Consider the following 22534-nt stretch of genomic DNA (forward strand, 5'->3'; position numbering starts at 1 on the left):
GAAGTTCTATTTTTCTGATCTTCTTCCCAATGTAAAACATCTACATTGAGCCTGAAAAATATTTCCTGTTTGTACTTGATAAATTCTTTATTTAAAAAGGCAAAGAGTAAAATTAAAATAGAGATGGAGTGCTAGTTTTCTAAACTTTTTTAAAAAGTTGACTGTCCTTTATATTTCATATATTTTTATTTCAAAGACTCAAACATGGAAATATGTATTCAATACAAAATATTTTAGTCTGAGATGTGTTATTTATTTTTGGAAACAGAGTCTCACTGTCACCCAGGCTGGAGTACAGTGGCATGATCTTGGCTCACTACAACCTCCACCTCCTGGGTTCAAGCAATTCCCATGCCTCAGCCTCCCCAGTAGCTGGGACTACAGGCACGTGCCATCATGCCCGGCTAATTTTTTTTTTTTTTTTTTGTCTTTTAGTAGAGATGGGGTTTCACCATTTCACCATGTTGCCCAGGCTGATCTGGAACTCCTGACCTCAGGCAATCTGCCCACTTCGGCCTCCCAAAGTGCTGGGATTACAGGCATGAGGCACTGTGCTTGGCCTAAAATGGATTATTTAGAATGAGCTCTATTCAAAACAAAATATATATCTCAGCATGGAAGTTGGATTCCTCTCTCTTAAGACATCCTTGATTTTCACTAAATGTAAGTTCTGATTATTTTTTAAAACACCCCATAATAAAATTATCCTGATTTTAAATTTTTTAAAGTTTACGTACTATGTTATCATGCCATGATTAGTAGTAATAGACAAGTAAATATTAGCCAAAGGAATTAGAAGAAAAGGTAAAAACATATTAGAAACCAAGCAAAGTTATTAATTTCATTTACCATAAATGATTATCAGGAAGCACCAAGAGTAGCTTAAAACTATTTAGAATGCCAAGCAATAAATATTTTTTAAAATTATGGTTAACTTAAAAATATTTAGCTGAAGTAGCAAGTCACAAAACGTAAGTTGTCAAATGTCTAGTTTTGCTTATAATTTATAATTATTTGCCGATTTTGGGGGTATAGGATTTCAACTTTGCCTTTATGCATGGGTTCGCTGATTGAAGTTTCATATCCTCCTTAACACACAGCATATCTGGCTATGATTTCCAGTTTTTGTTTCTTAAAAGAAGAGAAAAAAATTAAGGTGCTTAAGGGGCAATATGATAAAAAACTCCTTTAGATTTTTATACTTTTTCCCTAAAAATTTTATTGTAGTTTTGCCCAACTGCAATTTAATATATTTTTAGACAGAATTGAATCTTCCCAAAGTAATCAACTTATTTAATATAAACAAAGACTATTCTTTGTTTTCACAATAATATGTCATTAAGTTATATAATATTTAATTATGGAATTTCAGTAACAACAGAAACAGAAACTAGCTGGAACACACTTGGAAAGTATAATTATTCTTGGTGAGCATATACCTCAGCTGATAGGGACAGAAGTGCTCAGGTGTATTAGAGAGTAGTCCATTAGCCCTGAGCTCCCATGTTTTGCAGAGGGAATAGAGAGCTTTGGTTAATGCAAGAAGTCAGTGAAGGAAGATCAACTAGTAAATGTTACAATTTACTTAGGAATAAATTTAACAATAAATGTATAGGCCATGTATGTTGAAAACTACAAAAATAAATTGAGGCACATCAAAACCTTTTGAATCAATGCAGAGATATTCCTAGTTCCTGGATGGGGTTTCAATGTCATAAAGATATCAGCTTTCTTTATGTTAATCTACAGAGACCATGGAATTTAGGTGAAAATCCAAGCAATCTTTTATTTTAAAACTGATAAAATCATTAAAAATTATTTTTCCAAAGAATAAAAAAATGCAAGAAGAGTCATGGATATTCTGAAAAGTATAATAAAAGGAACTTTATCAATGTAGCCAAACTGTCATAAACCTACAATGATTGAATCACCATAGTTATGGTACAGGAAGAGAAAATTAGATCAATGGCTTTCTACCAGGAGCTCAAAAATAAATTCAAATATTAATAATATTAATACAATAAAAATTTAGTGCATTTGACATTTGCATTATGCATTTAACACAACTAGAGAGCAAATAGATTTAATCTATGATATTGAACTGGCTAGTCAACTGAAAGGTCATTCATACGTCATTCATTACACCAATACAAATTTCAAATGAGTAAAAAATATAAAGGTAAAAAAAAAAAACACTATAAGTAGTAGAAGAAGATAGGTATGAGCAGTTTTATAATCTTTGGATAGAGAAGGTCTTTCATTGCATGAAACCCAGGAATTATAAAGAGGAAAAGTAGATAGATTTTACTGCATTCAAAAATTCTGTTCAGCTAGACATAAATATGTCGAACAACATAACAAACATAAAAACGGTCCATCACAAATGACAAAACTTAAATTTCACAAATATGACAATGTTAATACCACTAAAATAGAAATAGCTCTTAAAAACAAATAAGCATAACAATGGATGGAAGGTAACAGAATTTGTGAAACAAAGAATATAAAGAGACAATAAATATGTAAAAAAGAAATGCAAATACAGAATTTTAAAAATAACGCATCGAGTTGGCAAAGCAGAAAATAATGTCTAGTTTTAACATGGGAAATGAGACTCACTCATGCTCCACTAGTGGGAGTGTAAATTTCTACAGATGCTTTGGAAATTGGTAACAGCATTTTAAATTTATATATTCTTAATATTAAAGACACATATATTTGAAGAAGTGTAGAAAGGTAAGTACACAAAGATGCTTACTGCAGAATGTATAGAGTAGTAAAAAAAGAAAGAGAAATCAATACAACCAGTTAAATAATGTTACATCCATAAAATGGATTGCTACAAAGTCATTTAGAAGAATGACATGGTTTTTCATATTTACTGACATGGAAACATTTCCTATATATAATGTTGTGCAAAAAAGTAGGTTGCAAAGCAATATATGTAGAAATATTACTTTTATATAAAAGCATATATAATATTAACCTCTATATATCCATGCAGATGTATAAATATATATTATGTGCATAATGGATGTCTTTGGGTGGTAAAATTAGGTGACTTTTTAAAATTTTTATTTTATGTATTTCCATATACTTTTCTATAAAAATGTTTATTTTTGTTTATAGAAACTGTAAAATTTAATATTTTAATGAATTCATTTTGCTTATCTCTTCAGTTATAATAAAAGTTACTTTATGCTAAAACATGATTTACATCTACAATGAAGTTTTTGCTTTTTGGTTTTAACTAAATTATATCTAGGGAGTTAGGAAGAAATAAGAAGCTGCTTCCTACAAATATGATTTCCACTTTTGTCTAAACATATTCAAAATAAAGAGTTAAGATTAATAAATCCCAGAATTCCTGTTCTAAAGAGAAATACAGCAGGAGGTCAACAAATTTTTACTGTAAATAAGAAAAACTACAGCTCAAATTGACTTACACAACAAGAAAATTTACTATTTTATTGGAAGTCCAGATGAAAGGTGGGCTCCAGATCTGGCTTAATGGTGTATGTGGCCCATTATTGTCATCAGGAACTCAAATTATTTCCATAGTTCAGCAACTTCACTATATTCAGCCTTGGCTTCAGCCTAAATTGAGTCTCCTCATGGTTCTAAGATGGCTGCCAGTACCAATTATGATACATGCTTCCTTCCATAGTCCATCAGGAGAGGAGCCCCAAAACTTCTCCCCTAAGCATGGAATACAAGTCCTCCACTTTGGTCTGATTGGATCAACTTGGATCACCTGGGCACCTGTGAGCCAGCTGTATTCCAGTATAGTGCTGTGTGTTGATGGGTCTGAACTCAGCTGTATCTACTTCTAAAGCTGGGAATGGGGTATAATTTTTCATACCTGAAAAAATTACAAGTCTGTTTGGAATTGGGGAATGAATAACAATTAGGTAACCAATTGTGTCTACTAAAAATGGGATATGTAGATATTATATTTAAAATGTACAATCAAAAGCTTCATTTGAACTTCAATTGGCTGTTCATGCTGATTAAACACACTGCGTAAATTTGTAGTTTATCCACATTACTTTAATGATATGTGTTGCTTGAGTTCAAGGTTATGAAACAAGTGTAAATTCTCATCCAACGTAAATGTCTCATATCACTATTTTCCTTAAAAATCTGCTTTATGATAGGCAGGTTAATTTGCAAATAAAAAAATTACTGTATTCTAGATACCTTTGTTGCTATCATATTTATAGAAAATGTTTGGATTTTTAAAAAAACTTAGGAGTGAATTTTTATTGTTCTGAAACCATAGCTCAATGACAAAGATAGTATTGAGTAGTAGATTGTGCTGGAAACAAAAGACTATGCCAAAGGATAGTAATTAGAGAAAGCTTTATATAAAAGCATTTGGATGAGTACACAAGACAGAAATGCACAGAGTTCTTGCTGCGATTAGGGAAAGGGTAAATGTTCTGCATCACAAATCTCCCTAAATTTGGGCATATACAATATATATAATGTTGAATTTGGTTTGTCCTTTCCAGTGATTCTTACACTATAATTTATTTATTGCCAGGTCATAAGGAAGTAAACACATATTATTAATTTGGTCTAATATTTAACTTATGCTGCAGCAGACTTGTATTTCTTTAGTGATAAGTAATGGATTGTTTTCCACACACAAGCAAATGGAGGCGGGAACAAGTGACACATTACGCCCCTCTTTAAGAGCTCAGCATGGCCTTCCGACTCAAATACTAATTGAATATTGACTGAAAGATAGCTTTGGGCTCTCCACATAGAAAGAAAACTGAAAAGCTCTTTGGACTAAATGGCAAATCTACAATTGTCTAGAACTGCTGCTTCGGGGGGAGACGTGCTTCTGATTAATTGAAACAAGTGCACATCTTAACCAGTGTCTGTTTACTTTGAAGGTCTATACTGCTGAATCATAATAACAGCAGTACATAGGCTGCCTGTGGAAAGAAGACAGTAGAAAGAAATCCTTTTCTTTTCTCCACTGCCAGGCAAACAGGAAGGCTGACAAATTATGTGGGGCTTTTGTCAAAACTCATAGGGAGTTGTTTCTAATCTGGCCATGGAAAAATGCTGGAGCAAATCATGTCCTTTGCAAATGAGATATTGGTTTGTGTTGACAATATTCTTCAGAAAATAAAGCCTCAAAGTGCCTTATAGGAAAACACATCACTTCAAGACAAGGTCAAGGCCAATCACTCTCTATTTGCCAATCACCCAGAAGTCTACATTATCTTTGATGGGCCCTCTGCCTTGGTTTAGTGTTATTTCCACTGGAGCTACTCAGAGGTACAGATCATTTTCAAAGGCTCCCCACTGCCTACCAAATAAAGGACAACTGACAGTCTAGTAACATTCAGTGTTTACCGCTACCTGATCCTAAGCTACCTTTCCGATCATGTGGCTTTTATATGCTTTTTACTGTAGTTTTGCTTGGCTTCTGTCTTTGCTCATGCTGTCCCTAGCATATCTGTTTTCCTTCCTACCCAGGTTCAAATCCTATTTGTTCCTCAGCTGCAAATGCAGCCTCCTCCAGGAAGCAGGCTGTAAGCCTTTGGTAAACAGTGTAGTGTTCTGAAGCCTTTCAGATGATGTAATGACCTGGTGACCCAGGAATATCTGAATCTTACCGTAAACCAAAATCTCCTATTCTCTTAAGAGAGCTATAATGACAGATGATGATGACAAATGGAAAATACCATCATCCCTCAGTATCTGCAGGAGATTGGTTCTAGGACCATCCCGTTCTGGCATACACTAAAATCTCCAAATCTGCATATGCTCAAGTCTCACCGTTGGCCCTGTGGAACCTGCATAGGAAGTCAGCCCTCCCTATGTGTGGGTTTCACATCCTGCTAATATTATATTTTCAATCCTTGGACTTGCACAGTTCAAACCCACGTTGGTCAAGGGCCAGCTGTAAAATCACTATATTAAAACTTTCAAAGACTGGGCTGGAGCCTTTCTCTACTCCTATGCCCAGATCCAAATCTTACCACCTCTATTAACACATAAAAGATAGAAAAGATGGTACCAAAGAATGTGCAAGAAGAGACAGAGGATCAGGAATCTTATGCTTCCTATTTATGCAAATAACTCTAACCACTACATGTGGTCCATACAATAACTTTTCTGTAATCTTACCACTAAGATAAGACTCTTTCCACTTGGGGAGGAGTGAGAAAGGGCAGGGAGCTTGAACGTTCCTTATTCTCTGGGTGCCTATGCAAATTTAGGTTGGTTTGGGGGATGAAATCATGTTGGAGAAAGGACAAATCCAAGATTCTATTTTAGTGTGCTTGGGCACACTGAAAGTTTTCTCCCCAGATTCCAAACCAACACCAGAAGTCATGCCTCCTCCTCTCTCCTTCTATGGGCTTGACATAAACCTGGGTTTATTGTGGGGTTTATGCTTTCTTGGGGCTAAATTAAACTCCATCTGCATCCTTTAGGTCAGCTGGAAGCCAGATGGAATCACATGTACATTTTCTGAAATTATGCTAGGTTCAACCATATGAGCTTTGTCCAAGTGTCATTATGTGGTTCACAATGTTATGCAGAAGAGTTTTTGCACCTGCAGGGGCATATCAGAATATCGGTCACTGAAATTAAATATAACTTAAAGGGCAGGCACCTTGCTTTACATTTTTAGAATTTGTAAAAAAAAATGAACATTCATAGCCCACACATTGTGACAAGTACATAAAGTTACTCTAATAAAATGAAGACAAAGATCAACAATTGCTGTAGGGAAATGCCTTTGAACTATTGATTCAAGATACTTCTACATATAGGCATTGATTTTCTAAGATTTTTGTACAAATCTCCCCACAAAATTATAAAACTGATCTGTGCTGGATAAAACATTCAAGCCTAATTCATGACCTTTTCTCACAGTGTGAAGACATTTATATTCTTCTTTTCTCTCCTTTCCCCATAGCTTCCACACATTTCACTTAATCTTCTTAAAATGCTACAATGGTCATGTCGTTGTCCTGCTCAGAATTCTTCAGCAGTTCTCCATTGCCTACAGTGTGAAGTCTCCCACTCCTTAATCCCCTTACCTTGGTGAAGGGCATCTACCATCATGAACCAACCTTTGTTCTTATTTTCTATCCAATACTGGAATCTTATACAATTATATTTGTCTGTTCATATGTCCTCAAACTTGCTTTGCATTATCTCATCTCTAAAGAGAGTTGAAAGTATCCTTCCCTCCTCTCAAAATGTATCACACTGCTATCACTTGATCTCAGTCAGCTTGAGGCTTAGTTCAAATACCACTTCTTCCACCCAGCCTGGCCAAAGGCTATTTCATTCATTAGGCAGGAGAGACATAGGGACTGGAGCCTTGGAACTCTCCAAGGCGCTAAAAAAAAAAATCCAAGATCCTAAATATAGTCTTCAAAATGTAGGAATAAACATGAAAAATCTAAATATTCAATTAAGTGACTTCCAAACACATATTGACTCCATTAATTGTTAAATTTAGTCCTCATAAAAATATTGATAGCATTGAAAACAGTGGTTTTTTTTTTTTTTTTTTTAGACAGAGTCTTGCTCTGTCGCCAGTCTGGGGTGCTGTGATGCTATCTCGGCTCACTGCAACCTCCGCCTCCCGGGTTCAAGTGATTCTTCTGCCTCAACTTCCCGAGTAGCTGGGGTTACAGGCACGCACCACCATGTCCAGCTAATTTTTATATTTTTAGTAGAGACAGGGTTTCACCACGTTGGCCAGGATGGTCTCAATCTCTTGTGATCTACTCACCTCGGCCTCCCAAAGACCTGGGATTACAGGTGTGAGCCACTGTGCCCTGCCAAGGTTTAAGTTTTCAGGGATTCCTCTGAATGCACCATGATTCCTGAGAAATCATAGTCATTTATTATATAGACAAATAGCTTCAAAAGCAAGATTGAAAAACATACATTCCAGTTTTTTCAATAACCAAGTAGATGTGAAATGTGACATACATTTAAATGTTTTATGAGGTGGGGTGGACCCTCTAAAAGCGTGAATCACTATGACTTTCACAATTCTGCAATAAAATAAAGATTACATAAAATGAAGCAATTTTTTAAAAAGTCTAAAATGGCCCAGGCCATTCTTACTGTAAATTCAAGTCTGACAGTGCAATGGGAGGAAGCCCTAGTTGCAGTTAAGTGGCCCAGGTTGGTGCTCTGTAGCCCATTCCAACCAGTGGGACTTCTCTGGACCTAACTTTTACTTGTTACAAAACAGGAATTTATAACTCGTCTCACATATACTCAAAGGGCTGTTTTAATGAAGCAATGAGATAATCTCAGTGGATAGGCTACAAATTGTAGAGAATATATATTACTATTCTGAATAGTTATGAACCAACAATCATGAACTCATGTATCACCTATTTATTGAACACCTATTATATATACATACAATCTGTCAGACACCTGGGGAGACTAAATGATCTCTGCAGTCAGGAGAAAGAAAAAGAACAGTTATACATTGAAGTAAGGTGTGATGAATGCCTCAATGTAGTTAACATAGCACATGGTTAAGTGTGAAGGCTGGAGTCAGACTGCCTTGGCCCCAACCCATGTGCTATATCTGTGACCTAAGACAAATTTCTTATCTGCTTTTCCTCTTGGTTTCCTCTTCTGTAGGATTGGGATGATTAGCACCTATCTTATAAGGTTGTTATAAAGATTAAATGAGATAAGGCTTGTAAATATATAGAACAGTGACTACACAGGGTAAAGGGCCAATGAATGCTAACTATTTATTCCTATACTTTATAACTGAGTGTTACCTTCTACCTAGGAAAGTAATGAAAGGCAAGGGAGGGCTTTTCAAGCAGGAGTGCAATGACACTGAGGCTCACAAAGAGCAATGGACAGCACAGGGATGTTAAGTGGCTTAATGGGCTGAAGTGAAGGGTGTGTGCAGGAAAACTGAAGTAGTTAAGCATGGATGGGGAGCAAAGATCTACTTACGCCATGGAAGTAAGTTTCGATTTTATCCTGTGCAGGCAACAGAAAGCTACAGAAGAATTCTCAGCCATTGTTTGAAACAATGGTATCAAACAACTTGCAAACACATGCATTCTTTGGTGGTGAGGATGAACAATAAAAGATTTTAAGATGAGTTGCACATTTGTGCCTTGGCCAGCTCAGTTATATGGTAGCGCCACTGGGTGGCCATTCACAGAGTTAGAAAATAAGGGGAAAGAATCTGGATGAGAAGAAAAATTGTATCATTGAATGGTGTGAGGACATTGAAAGGAGATGCCATGGAGGTCAATGCTCCTCCAAGTGTGCTCTGTAGACCTGTGTCATCTGTGAACTACTTCTTATTGGCCCTCACTGAGATAAAGTGCTTATACCAGAAATTACATCAATTTAGTCACTATGCATACTACTCAATACAGCTGACAACTTTTATAGGAAGACTTTCCTAGCAGAAGAAGGTAATGAGTTGATTTACATTCTAGTCCAAGCTCTTTACAAAGCATTCACTGACCTGCACCTGTCTGTGGCCACACCTTTAGCAGCACTGATGCAAATGGCTAAATGTATGGGTCTGGCAGTCTGGCAAGAGGCCTATGCTGGAGACAAAAGATTTGCAAATTTTAAGTGTAGAGATGTTAGTAGCTAAAGTCATGATTAGGGATGAAGTTGCTGAGACAGATGGTATGGACAGAAGAAGAGGGCTGTCTTTGTTAGGACTGCAATAACCAAGAATCACCAACTGGGTAGCTTGAGCAACAGATATTGTCAGAGGCTAGGTGATGATCAAGGTGTCATCAGAGTAGGCTCCTTCTGAGGCGTAAGAATCTGTTCCATGCCTCTCCCCTAGTTTCTGGTAATTTGCTGACAATCTTTGGTGTTCCTTGCTTGTAGAAGCATCACCCCAATCTGTCTTCCTTTTCACGTGGCCTTCTCCGTGTGTGCATATCTCTGGGTCCAGATTTCCCCATTTTATAAGGACATCAGTCATAATGGATTATAGCCCACCCTAATGACCTCATCTTAATCTTCCAAATAAAGTCATATTCTGAGGCAGTGGGGGTTAGGAATTTGACATATAAATTTGGGGGGAACATAATAAACCCATAACAAGAGCCAAGAATGGAAATCTAGAAAACACCAATATTTACAATTCAGACACTCACACTATCCTGACTTAGTCTACGTCAGTGTATCTCAACTTCTCAACCAGATTGCTAGGTTCCTAGAGATCAGGAAGGCCATCTAAAATGACTTTACATACTTTTTCTACAGGATCTAGTGAGTTTCTCATACATAGAAGTGGCTCAAACAACATTGTCTGATGATGTATAACAAACAAAACTTGAATATGGAAGAACCCCCAAGAAATGTTTTGAACACAGTATGTTATGACACACTGCCTTATAGACAACAGTTGCTATACTTGTCAGAAAAATCGCCAATGTAGATGTTCAGGATATACTTCAACTCATTTGCTTAAACAACTCTATGCCTACCATCCTCACCAAAAAGCTGTTTTTCTACATGGGCAACAGAAGGCATAATTATTTGCAGGAATTTTCAGTATTTTCCCTTTGCTTTCTTAAGAGGCATAGTAGATTCTCTGGACCACTTGGCATGTTTGCCAAAATCCCATTGTCTTTTTAAAAGCATCACCACTTCCTTAGGGTTTGTAACTTAGCATGTGCTCCTGGAACACTTAAGGATTAAAAAAAAAAAAAAAAAAAAAAAAGTTAACTTCTAATTATCCCAGAACTTTTTTACTGCACAGAAGTAATTCTGAGAAGCACGTGATGAATTAATATTTTCCTCCCATGGGCTGTTGAAAAGACATCAATATATTATCAATTTATTTCATATCTCTCAATTTTAGAATGGCAGACAGCAGATGGGAACACTTGAGGGCTTGATAATTCAATTTATTTTCAAACCTTTTTCCCACTTGTTAAAATAAAAGGAATAACACAGCAAAAATAATTTTCTTTGACTAGTGAAATGTATCAGAAAAGTCCATATCTAAGAAGCAGTTTTACTTTTTATTGATGTTTTCTACATAGCATATTCTTATTACCATATCCAATATGCAGTAGCTCTGTAGTTATTATTTATTTATACCTTAACTACACCCAGAAAGGACTTTAGGCAGCTTACAATAAAATAACAGAAAATAATGCCAAAATCCTGTAAGAGAATAAAAGTAGAGAAAATGAGCACATTTATTTATGCCTAAAATATGTAGAACTTACAGGTTCTGTGATACAACTTTGGCAACATTGTGGCTGATGGTAAATTAAACAGCCTAATTTTCACTAACCCAAATGAAATGCACTAAAAAATGCACACCCAATATGAAAACTTATTTCTTTGGCTTCTGCTGATTTTAATGTTTGATCACTTAAACACACACTATGGTGATTCAAGTTCAACTAGGATTCACCCATTGCAAGGGATTCATAAAGAAGGCTTTTCTCTACAATGGATCTAGAAATTTGTCACTTTTTGGTATTAACAAACAAAGTCAAAGGTAATAGATAGCATGTTTCTGTAACATAACTTATTTTGAAGCCATTTGGTAATTGGTTCACTCTGAGAAGCTTTTATAAAAGTAAAAATTATAGAGACAACGTCTCTGTAATAAAGGTGACTGTATTTTAGACTATTTCCTCTCTTTAGAAGCTCTCTAGGAAATAAAGCATCAGTGTGAAGTCTCAACAGTAGAACACTTACTGAACACCTACTACATGTCAGGTACTGTTTTGGGAGATGGGAATCTTACAGTCTAGTGAGTGATAGGCATGTGTAAAAAGGGTAATTTAAATATAAACTACAGGAGGTAAAAGAAAAGATTGACTAAGGACTTATGGCAATACTTAGCCCACTACAAAGCTTTGAGTAAGGTTTCCTAAAGGAGATAACACTTGAGTTATAATAATTAAAGGATGAACAAGAGTGAATCGCATGAAGAAAGGTGAGGACGACATTTTGCAATAAGAAACAGTATGAGCAAAGATATTGTAGTCTGAAATACTGTGGAGGAGTTTGGTGAACTAAAATGCAAGAATACTATTTTTACTGTTACTGATAATATTTGTCCATGTACCCCATATTAAAGATTTTAAGCAACTAACATGTTTTTTCTCTTACAATGCTTAATAATTTTTCCCCATTTTACAGATCAGGAAACTAAGAAGTAAAGACATGGATAATGTCCCCAGGGTCACAAAGTCAACATGTCACAGAGCTGACCAGGAATTTGAACCAGGGACTGATAGTCCACAGAGTTAGAGGTCTTAGTCTCTGTACGCTATTGCATATTACCTACTTATGCGAGTCTTACTCTATCTAGATATATAAAGTTTTGAACATATATATATATGCTTAGAATTTACTCTCTACACAAACATAAAAGCATTTTATGAGTTCATTTTTAATGGTAACAATCAATATGGTAATAGTCAATATCATAGTCAGTATCATTAGTGTAAACCAACATTTTTAAAAGAGCTATTTGGATTGAGGACAAAAATATTAGGACTTGAAAAAGGCAGGTGACCTATTCAATGATAACGAGCATAGTGCCTTTCCTCATAGTGGCTATGAAGAAAATAAGGAACTCTGAGGATCCCATCATTTACCAATTGAGTGACCCAAGACCCCTTTATCTGAGTCTTCTGATAAGCTTGTGGCAAATCTTCCCATGTACATGTGCTTGGCATTAGCCATTTAAAATATCTCCTATGAATTCTATCCATGTTACTTTTGTTCAAAGTGAGCTTTTGAAGCCAGACAAATGGGTCCCTGTTTTTTGTTCAAAGAAATACAAGTGAAATGTCTCAACAAAAGTGAAAGAACAGAGATGTATTGTAGCCTGGACCCCCATCTGGTTTATAGGTAACACTCTAATGATAACTACCTGCCTTCTGGTATTCTTGCATTTTAGTTCACCAAACTCCTCCATACTGTTTCATGATGATAATAGCAATAATGAATATAAGGCTTGTGATGGCTAGTACTTCATATATATTAACTTGCCCAGTCCTTTCAGATAAAAACACTGCACATATCAACTTAGCAATAACAAGAGCTGACACTTGTATTGCACTTACACATTCCAGATATTATTTTAACAGCTTTACTATATTATCTCAATTAATTTTCACAAAAACCCAATGATCAAGGTACCACTACAATTCCCATTTCATTCATGAGTAAACTGAGCCTCAGAGAGGTTAATTGTCTAAGATCACAGAGCGAGATAAGGGTACAGCAAGAAAGCAAACCCAGGCATTCTAATTTCACAGTGTATACCCTTAACCACTGTCCTTCACTGTCCATCAATATATCAATAGCAAGGGCTAGACTCAATGCATTGGCTGAATTCATCCCCCTTTCCTCATCTGTTAAAAACAGAAATCATATCACATGCCTAGACTGACAAATGAAAAAGTAATAATTTTGATCATCGGCCCTCCAATTTGGCAAAAACTATAAAACAAGAAAAGTACTGCAGTTGCCAAAGACAGGGAACACACAGTTCTAAATTTCAGGTCCTTCTCTTGGATGCTTTACAGGGGCCAGGGTCAGATCAGTGATACTTGTTAAGCAATTGTAAAAGGAGATGGTGTTGGCAAGAACCAGACAGCTTATATCCTACCATCCAGATTTATATGGTGGATGGGTATCTTGGACCAATTTAGTTAAAAGTGATTAACATTCTATTATTTAAATGATGGTTGGGTAGTCTTATTTCCATCCCTTTTTGCAAATCCATAAAAACTCAGGCCCAGTGTTGTCATATCTTCCACTTGTAAGAGAAGCCAGAAATCCAGATTTTTTATGTGAAATATTTTGATAGTTTTAAATGTTGAGAACTAATTCACAATTTGAAAAGCGCTTTGTGGACAAAATGCATTCGTAGATCAGTTTCAGCCCACAGGCCACAGTTTGCAATCTCTCATGTAGTCTGCTGTCTTATAACCTTTTGAAATTTCACCTTATGTGAAGATTTAGAGAGCTGGACTAATGAAATCTAACTTCATCTCTAACCATCTTGGATTCTTTAAGACACTGTCTTATTTTGTAATGTAAAAACATACCAAATACAACTTTGAATGAATTTGTAAGTCTTGGTAAAAAGTAATCTCATTGTCCAGAAAGAACTATCAACTCCTATATCTGGAGAGGACATTAGAAATTATCCAAAGCTTGTCCATCCCCATCTCCACATGAGAGATTTAGAAATTATCCCAGAGTCTTGCCTACAATCAGTTGTTCATTAGTGGCAGGGTTTGAGCTAAAACACAGGTTTCAAAATATAGGTTGAGTATTCCTTATCCTCAGTGCTTGAGAGCAGAAGTGTTTTGAATTTTTAAAGGATTTTAGAATATTTATGTCATACTGGTTGAGCATCCCTAATCCAAAAATCTGAAATCCAAAGTGCTTCAATGAGCATTTCTATTGAGCATCATGTCATGATCAAAAAGATTTTAGAGCATTTCAGATATTATGTTTTTGGATTATGGAAGCTAAATCTGTATATCCTTTCCCTTCATCATCTAGCTTTTTTCATTCTGATATGGAAGTCATTTAGCCTCCTAGATCCAGCCATTCCTGCAGTCACTTCTGTACCAGTCTCTTCACTTACATGAACCAGTAAGTCACTCAACCTCTTTTTTGATTTAGCCACTTGTGCTGGGTTTCTGTCACTTAGAACCAACAGAATCTGACTGACATTGCCTAACAGTGACTCTTTTCCACATTTCTGCTACCTAGTGTTCTTCTCCAGACTGCAATACCTGTTTTTCCTATGCTTACTCAAATGAAATTAACTTTTAAAGACCTAACCCTAGTCTACTTTCTCTATGAAGATTTTTTTCTACTACTGTATCCAATCCTGTGTGTGCATGCACTCTTCTTTCTTCCTTCCCCACTTTAGTACTTCTAATCAGCGTCTTACAACTAAAACTTTCTTATTCAGCTTATTTGACATATATGTTATCTTCCAAACTAGAAGCTCCCCCAGTTCAGGAACCACATCTCACAAGTACCAATTTCTTCTGCCATCAAGCCTGGGTGAGCGCTTGGTGCAATGAGTAACTGGTCAGTTATTTAGAACTTATTTCTAGGTTAGAACTCTCATCATTCCAGCTTAAGTTTTATAGACACCTGTCCCCAAATCACAGATGCTGGTTATATTTCAACATGATAGCTTACGATTGTTTATTAAATTTGCTTTTGCAGTGGGAAGATCCCTAAGTCATTTGACTTTTATCATTTTACTCAGTGCAATTCTTCAGGAATGAAACATTTAATTTCCTTTGTTCTTCGGTCCAGTTTTAGGGAATCATAAGCCTATGCTAGGGGTGTAATGAGGCAAGAACCTTTCATGGTATTCCGCATCTTCAGAAAGTCTCTGCTATCAGTGCATAACAGCGGCTTCCCAATGTACCAAGGAAAATGGGGAGGGGAGAATGCCAACAAGCCCATTTAAATAATTCAGTTCTTCCCCTGATGAAGAGAAACAATTCTGTTTAAAGAAAAATTGGTTTAATCGTCACTTTGTTCTCTCAAAAGGTAGAATTTTTTTTTAGACTGCAAGTCATATATTGCACTAACAAAGCAAACCTTAAGAATTTTGAGTAGACCAAAGTGCCTCAAAATATATCTGAGTAGACAACTTTATTATTGATTCAAAACACACACATACTTGCGCTCTCTCTCACACACATATATAGTTAGCTAGCACTAGGTCTTTTTATGTAAGGTATGGCTTTTTAGTCTTGCCCAAATAAGCCCAAGTAAATGAATAAGGAAAGAATTTCTATGGCTATGACTCAACATTAGCCATCATTTCATGGGCAGATACAAGCTGAATCATACAGAAATGAGTAGCTTGAACTTACAAGACATTTGTCCTCTTGAATGAAATAGGAATTGCTGTGTAATAGACAGTTTTAAGGATTACCCTTTTCCCCCATCATGCACAGACACACATGTACACTATACCTATGTATGTAGACACAATGCTCATTTTAAACTATTAGAATAATTCCTACATCATTTAAAAAATGGTCATGTCAATCTAAATATTACATGAATTGCTAACAGTGCCTGCTTTTACATTCCCTCACTATAAGTAGCTAGTTCACACAAGGTAGCCACCCATCACCGTTACTACATAGTTTAGAAACATATGGTATAGCTTTGCCATGCCAACTTCTAGGTATTCACTTTACCATTCTGACAAAAGAAGAAGAAAAAGCAAAGAACTGCTTTCCAAACTGTCATTTCTGAGCTACTGAAACATACATTGTTACATTCTGGTGGGGAGATTTTTGTTTTGGTCATAAATTATTTCGCCATGTTATATTTCAATTCACAGTAATGTAACATAATATATCGGTAAATAATAAAATGTTTTTTCAGATAGTCTGTTTAAAGTCCCCTCTTTAATTAGGAAGATTGTTGGAATGCTCTTTTTCTCAGTAAAAGTGAAACCAAAGTAATTACCAAAATTATCCAAATGATGGTACTGTCTCCTTCTGTTCCTTCGGAAGTGTTCTTCCGAGCTAAAATCTTTTTCCTTTCAGTTTAAACGACATAGTAAAGTTGATACAGTCTAGTGTTAAATTTACCCACTAAAAGCCCATCCCTCTCCTTCATATTCTTTAAGAAGTTATACTTAAGCATCCACTTTGCCCATAGTGACTATATTTGATGGGTGTACAGGGGAAGAAAGGAGGACCTCTCTCAATTCAGAGAGAAATAACTCTGGGTAAAGAAGTACACCTGACATGTTGTTAGGATTCTAGGGCTCTTTTTATCCTAGACTATTTCTAGCCAGTATCTCATATTAAAAAGATAGGATTTGGAATCAGAATGTTTCACACTTCAATTGCCATCTTTTACCCATCTACGTGGTGCTTTAGGCAAATAACAAAATTTCCAAGTCTCAGTTTTTTAAAAACGAGGATGGCAATTTGTACATTGTTAGAGTTAGGAGATTTAAAAAATGATTTAAGAACAGAAAAAAATAACTTTGGCTAAAAACTAAGGAAATCTGAATAAACTACAGACTTTAGTTAATAATAATGTATCAATATTAGTTCATTGTAACCCATGTCCCATACTACTGTAAGATATTAAGAAGGGAAATTAGATATGGAGTATATAGGAACTCTCTGTACCGTATATCAATTTTTCAGTGAATTGAAAGCTGTTCAGAAAGATAAAATCTATTCTTCAAAAAATGATCTATGTGCCGTGCACATAGTAGATACTTGAAAAAGTGGTGTGAGTATTGTGATATAGATTATTTGGTTTCATATGGTGCATTATACTCTGTACAATATGGTCTTTTCTCCACAATTCAGCAATTCCTTTTCATAGATCTCGTTCTCTCTCTCTCTGACCTCCATATCATCCTATCCCTTTCTCTACATTTTTCCTCTTTTTCTAGTTCATCCTTTTCTATTCTACTGCAAACTCATGTTTAGTTTACAACTAGTTTATCTTTCTCCAAGACTAACTTTAGCTCATCAACTATTTGTTGGCTTTAAACTTTACCACAGTGATTATGCAAACCTTTTAATTACTCTCAATCATTGCTTATTTTTAAAAAATCAGAGTTCTAAGCTTTCTACTTGAAGGAGCAAAACACACCTCTAGAAAGGCATTAAAAACTTACAGATATAGCAGTGAAAAAGCTTCTTTTTGTAATAAGGAGATATATATATATATTTTGTTGTTGTTTAAATTTAGCTTCCCAGTATAGCCAAAAGCTCTGGGATAGCTTCACTGGGATATGTATTTAGCAACAGTTTGCTGTGATAACTAAGAATAGTTTGACCAAATGTCAGTGTTATCAATCTGTCCTGGAGTCTCTCTGAGGTTAAGCTCCCGTGTAAAAATGCAAACAGCATGCCCCTCAAAACCACAGCTTTGAGTGGATTCAGGTAAAGCATACAATCAGATCAGAAAAATCTGGCCTTATAATAATCTCTAAAGTAACTGAAGTTTCTGTTTAGAAGAACTGTGTCTCTGTGGGATTTCTTTCTCCATGCTAGCTCTGGACTTAAGCAACTATTTAAAGGACAGACCTCTAGAGACTTTGATAAATGTCTCTAGACATCTCCCCCACCCCTTTCGACCTAACACTTAAAGTCACAGTTTTCATTGTCAAAGGAATGGAATATTTTTGGCTGGTGCTGTTATTACTGGGATAGATTTTGGAGGTTGAAGTTCCTATGCTGTAAAGGCACAATTACAATAGGAATTCCAAACTGAAATGTGAACTATTAGGCCCCGTGGACTCAACATCCAGCCTTAAAATAATATCCCAAAAACTTTTACTTCTCTGAGGATACTTTTGCTCTACTGCAGTCAAAAATACGAATTGAAAAAACAAGGGGCCACAGATAAAGATGGAGAGTCTTGTGTGTAACCCACCTCCTGTCTCTCACCCTGGAAATCAGTTTTATCTTTTAATGAAACTGATATCCAAGCTCGTGATGGCTGAAATAAATCATCAGTGCTGGGTGGTGTGTGTACACATGTAAGCAAAACAAACAGAGAAATCTGTGCTAACTCAAGGTAAGGGTGGATAAATACGGAAAACCTAATGCTACTACAGCAACATGTAATTTGTTCTTAAATGGCAGCAACTGAAAGATTCACTATTTTCAGACACTAGTCTCACAGTCTTGATGGGGTTAGGACTGGCCTCACACTGCCTCTGTGTGGGGCTTGACTGGCTTTTTTGATAGCTCAAGTGCTGCAAATTTATTTAAAAGAGAACAGAACGCTGACTTTCTTCACTAACTCACTCCAGCTGGGTTCCTGCCTGCTTTTCTTCTGTCCCCACCCCCCGCCACTGCCCCTCATCTTGCAGTACCCCTCATCCCTTTCTCCAGCTAAAGAACAGCTGATAGAAATAGGCGCCTTTTTTTTTTTTTTTTTAACATCAAAGGCAGCCCAGAGCTATGTCAGCCTTGCCCCAGCCTCAGACAGAAAAAGCTTTTGATGCCTCAGATTGCGAAGCTTTTTGCAGCTGTACTTTATCAAGGCAGCAGTGGCAGGGCTTGGAGGACCCAGGCGAGCCAGAAGGTGGCGGCGAAGTCACCTTGGGAAGAGGAGAATAGGGTCAAAGACAGGACGGCGGAGGGGCTGACCCGGACGGAAGGACCAGAGGGCGTGCCCCTGCTCTGGGGTCAGTGAGGAAGGGTCAGGGGGACTGGTGAGAACTCCAGCCATAAGGAAGCAGTGCCCGAGGACACTTTGGCGACGCTAGTCGGTGATCAGCTGACCCGGGCAGGGAGAGGAGGGTGCCCTTCGCAGAGTCACGGGAAGCTTCGCCTTCTGGGCTTGCTTTCTCCCGCCTGCCCCTGCGGTTGCTCTCTGCCCCAGCGAGCGGAGCGCTGCTCCAAGACGCTCTTCTCCCTCCACCTCGGCGCCCCCACCTGCCGTTGCCCCCGCCCGCCGAACGCACGCCCAGGAGGGCGGGCCCGGAGTTGAGCGCAGCCGCCCGCCGCTGGAGAGCGCTGGGAGCCCTGCAAGCGAGCAAGGCCTCTCTGGGCGCCGCGGGCAGCAAATCACTCCCCGAGCCTCTCGGTCCACAAAGCGGGACCTGCCTGCCTCGCTCACCAACGCTCCCGGGCTGGGGGGGCTCGAGCAAGCGGCGCTGCGCTCCGCGGCCCTCGCCGGTCCCAGTCAGCTCCAGGAGCGCTCCAGGCTGGGTTGGGCTGGGCCTGGGCGAGCCCGGCCGCTGGGAGGGGGCCTCGTAGCCCTTTCCCCAGGGCGCGGTCTCCACCTCTCCTGCTCCTCCTCGCCAGCTGCGCCGCCAGCTCCCATTGTTCACCCCGCCCGCCTGGCGACGTCCGGGTGCTGCTCCCTGGGCCTCCCAGGCGCACCTACCTTCTGCTGCCGGCGAGCCATGTCGGTGGGCTGCTTGGCATTAAAGGGGTAGGCGATGCAGCGCATCACGAACACATACAGCTGCAGCCTCTTCTTCCTCTCCTCCTCCTCTTTCTGCAGCCGCTCCAACTCTTCCTTCTCCTTCTCGCTCACCACCGACGGGCTGGGGCTGGAGGGCCGGCCGCCGCCAGCGCGGCTGCTGGGTTGCAGCCCCCCGGCCCCGCCGCCGCTGCTCGCGCCGCTGCCCCCGCCGCCGCCTGCACCCACCCCGGCTCCGGCGCCGGCGCCGCCGCCCCCCAGCCCGGCGCTGCCGGCCGAGCCCTCGCTGGTACGGCTGGGAGACAGGCGCGCGCCGGACGGGGCCGAGCCGAGCACCTCCTTGCCGCTCTCCTCCTCCACGATCTCATCCGATTCTTCTTCGCTGGACGAAGGGTCCAGCATAGTGGCGCCTGGGGAGCGGGGTCTCTGGAGCCCCCGGCTTGGAGTGCAAAAGGTGGGGGGCGCTGGAGGCAGCCGGGGATCAGCTCTCCCGGGTGGGCGCTTCTCCCCAGGTCAGGGAGCGAGAGCGCTGCTGCTCAGCCTCGGCCGCCGCGACTGATCCTCTGCCCGGCGGTCGCGAGCTGGGCTCAGACCCAGAAGCGCGAAGGGAGGAGGGGAAGGGAGAGGTGCGTCCGTGGACTCGAGGTGGGCAAGGGGGAGAATCAATTGCGAGCCCCGAGCCCGCAGCCGGATGCCATCTGCGGCTGCTGAAGGAGGCGCCTCCAGAAAAGATGCCGAGTGTTGCAAGCTGTCGATGCAGCCAAGAGCCGAAGAGGCATCTTGCCGATTGGGGAGGGAGCGGCGCTTACGTGTTTATTGGCTTAACTCTCCCGTGTCCGCGGCGTAAAGGGCTGCTGCAGAGGGCTGGAGGGGGGAGAGCGCGGAGCGTCCTCAGAGCCTCAGTACTTCTGACCCCAATACCTTGCCACCCTCCTCCCCTGCCGGCTTCGTGGATAATTTTTTTGTTGATATCTGGCTCTCATTGCCTCAACCCCTTTTCCCCTCCCGCGGACAAAAAGTTCTTGGGGGAGGGAGAAATCCAGAAACCAGCCGAGCGGGCTGTTTGGAGACGCTAAATCGAGAGGTCTTACTTAGGAGGAGGAAGTCCGTGAGATCTTATACGGGAAAGAAAGGGTCCATCTCCTTTCCCCAGGCTTCTTTACACCTGGGGCGTGGGGGGCGTGGGGGCTGGGCAGCGTGTTTGTCCCACCTGTGTAAACTCTGATTCCAGCAACTTATTCCGCATGCGCCCAGTCTAATTAAAATAAAAGTGAATCAAATTTTGAATGGATTGGTGTTTCGACCAGGCAACTCAACCATTTATGTAGCGCCCCCGACCTTGCCTACCCCCACCCCCAAAATCTATGATGAATCTTCTTCAGTTCCCAAGACCTGGGAATGCTTTCTGCTGAGGTGAGCCTACCAGAAAAATAGAAGGGTTTCTGGTTGCTTAACCCTCCCTCCATTCTGGCTCGGTGGAGGCTTGGGGACCCCGCGATCAGACAAAGACACCCTAAGAACTCAGCGGCGTCAACATCTAATGCGTCGACTGTCGCACTCTGTTCACCCCTGCCTCTCGGGTAAACTATTAATACAAAGCAGCAGATGGTGCCTGCCTTCCCCGTGCTCCTTTCACTTAGGCCAGTAAACCTGGTAAACGAGGGAGCTGGCCAACGTGCTGAATGTAACCTGCGACCCGCACGCAGATGGATGAAAACAAACCACCAGCCAGCCACCTTCAGAACTTAGGCTATCTAGAGACCTCTCCACTTCATCGCCTATATTTATGTATTTTCTAGTTCTCTAATTATCTGTAGATACTCGTGGGAGTGATTTTAATAGTGTAGCATGAGTTTAAAGTTTAAATCACTTTTGTCTTTACGTATTTTATAATTTACCATGAGTTTTACTAGCTTTGATAGTAAAGTGACCTGTTTGAGACCTGCAGATGAACTCAGAACAACTGGTTTCACATTAACCTCAACAATTCTGTTTGATCTTTTGAGTTAAGTACTTGGATGGCTTATATTTGACTTCACCACCATACCTCAAGGACACAACTTTTGTGGCCATCACACATTTGGTAACAACACAAAATTTAAAAAAAATTGAGCAGTGCGGGGATTGTGACAGTTTTGCAGCCTCACTTTTTAATTCTTCTCAAGAAGTAAAGGATGTTCAAATCATGTGGTATTGGTTTTCCTGGAACAGAAAATATAGTAAGCCAATCAATTGATCAACAACCTTTATCCAGCACCTTTTAATGAAGTAACACATTGTTCTAGGTGCTTGGGATAGATAGAATTTTTAGAAGGCATTCTCTTAAAGAGTCTATAATCTCCTTTGGGAGCTACAACATAAACATGTGAAAAAGATTGACAGCACTTATTCTGAGGCAACATATCAACAAATCCAGGTCAGTAAACTGCAAAAAGCTTGCGTGAATGAAGCAACTTGAAGTGAAGGGAATCATATATTTCTCAAAGAAGAGAATAAAATCTTAAGGGAACATACCATATACATGGGTGGTGAAAAGAGAAGGTATTGCAAGTGGAATAAGTGGTTTGCAATGCCAGAGTAATAGGGCAAG

The 22534-nt window shown here is 39.3% G+C and overlaps 1 protein-coding gene across 51 annotated transcripts in view; it reads right to left on the minus strand.

The window, feature by feature from the left end:
• Positions 1–20733, minus strand: part of CADPS (calcium dependent secretion activator) — a 477069-nt gene extending 456336 nt beyond the window's left edge. For all 51 annotated transcript variants that reach the window (NM_183393.3, NM_001438352.1, XM_011534199.3 and 48 more), the window contains exon 1: positions 19906–20733. In NM_183393.3, the coding sequence (NP_899630.1) occupies positions 19906–20346 (441 nt within the window). In that variant the 5' untranslated portion in view covers positions 20347–20733. The remainder of the gene's footprint in view (positions 1–19905) is intronic.

This window comes from Homo sapiens, chromosome 3 (genome assembly GCF_000001405.40).
Source record: "Homo sapiens chromosome 3, GRCh38.p14 Primary Assembly".
Taxonomy (NCBI): Eukaryota; Metazoa; Chordata; class Mammalia; order Primates; family Hominidae; genus Homo; species Homo sapiens.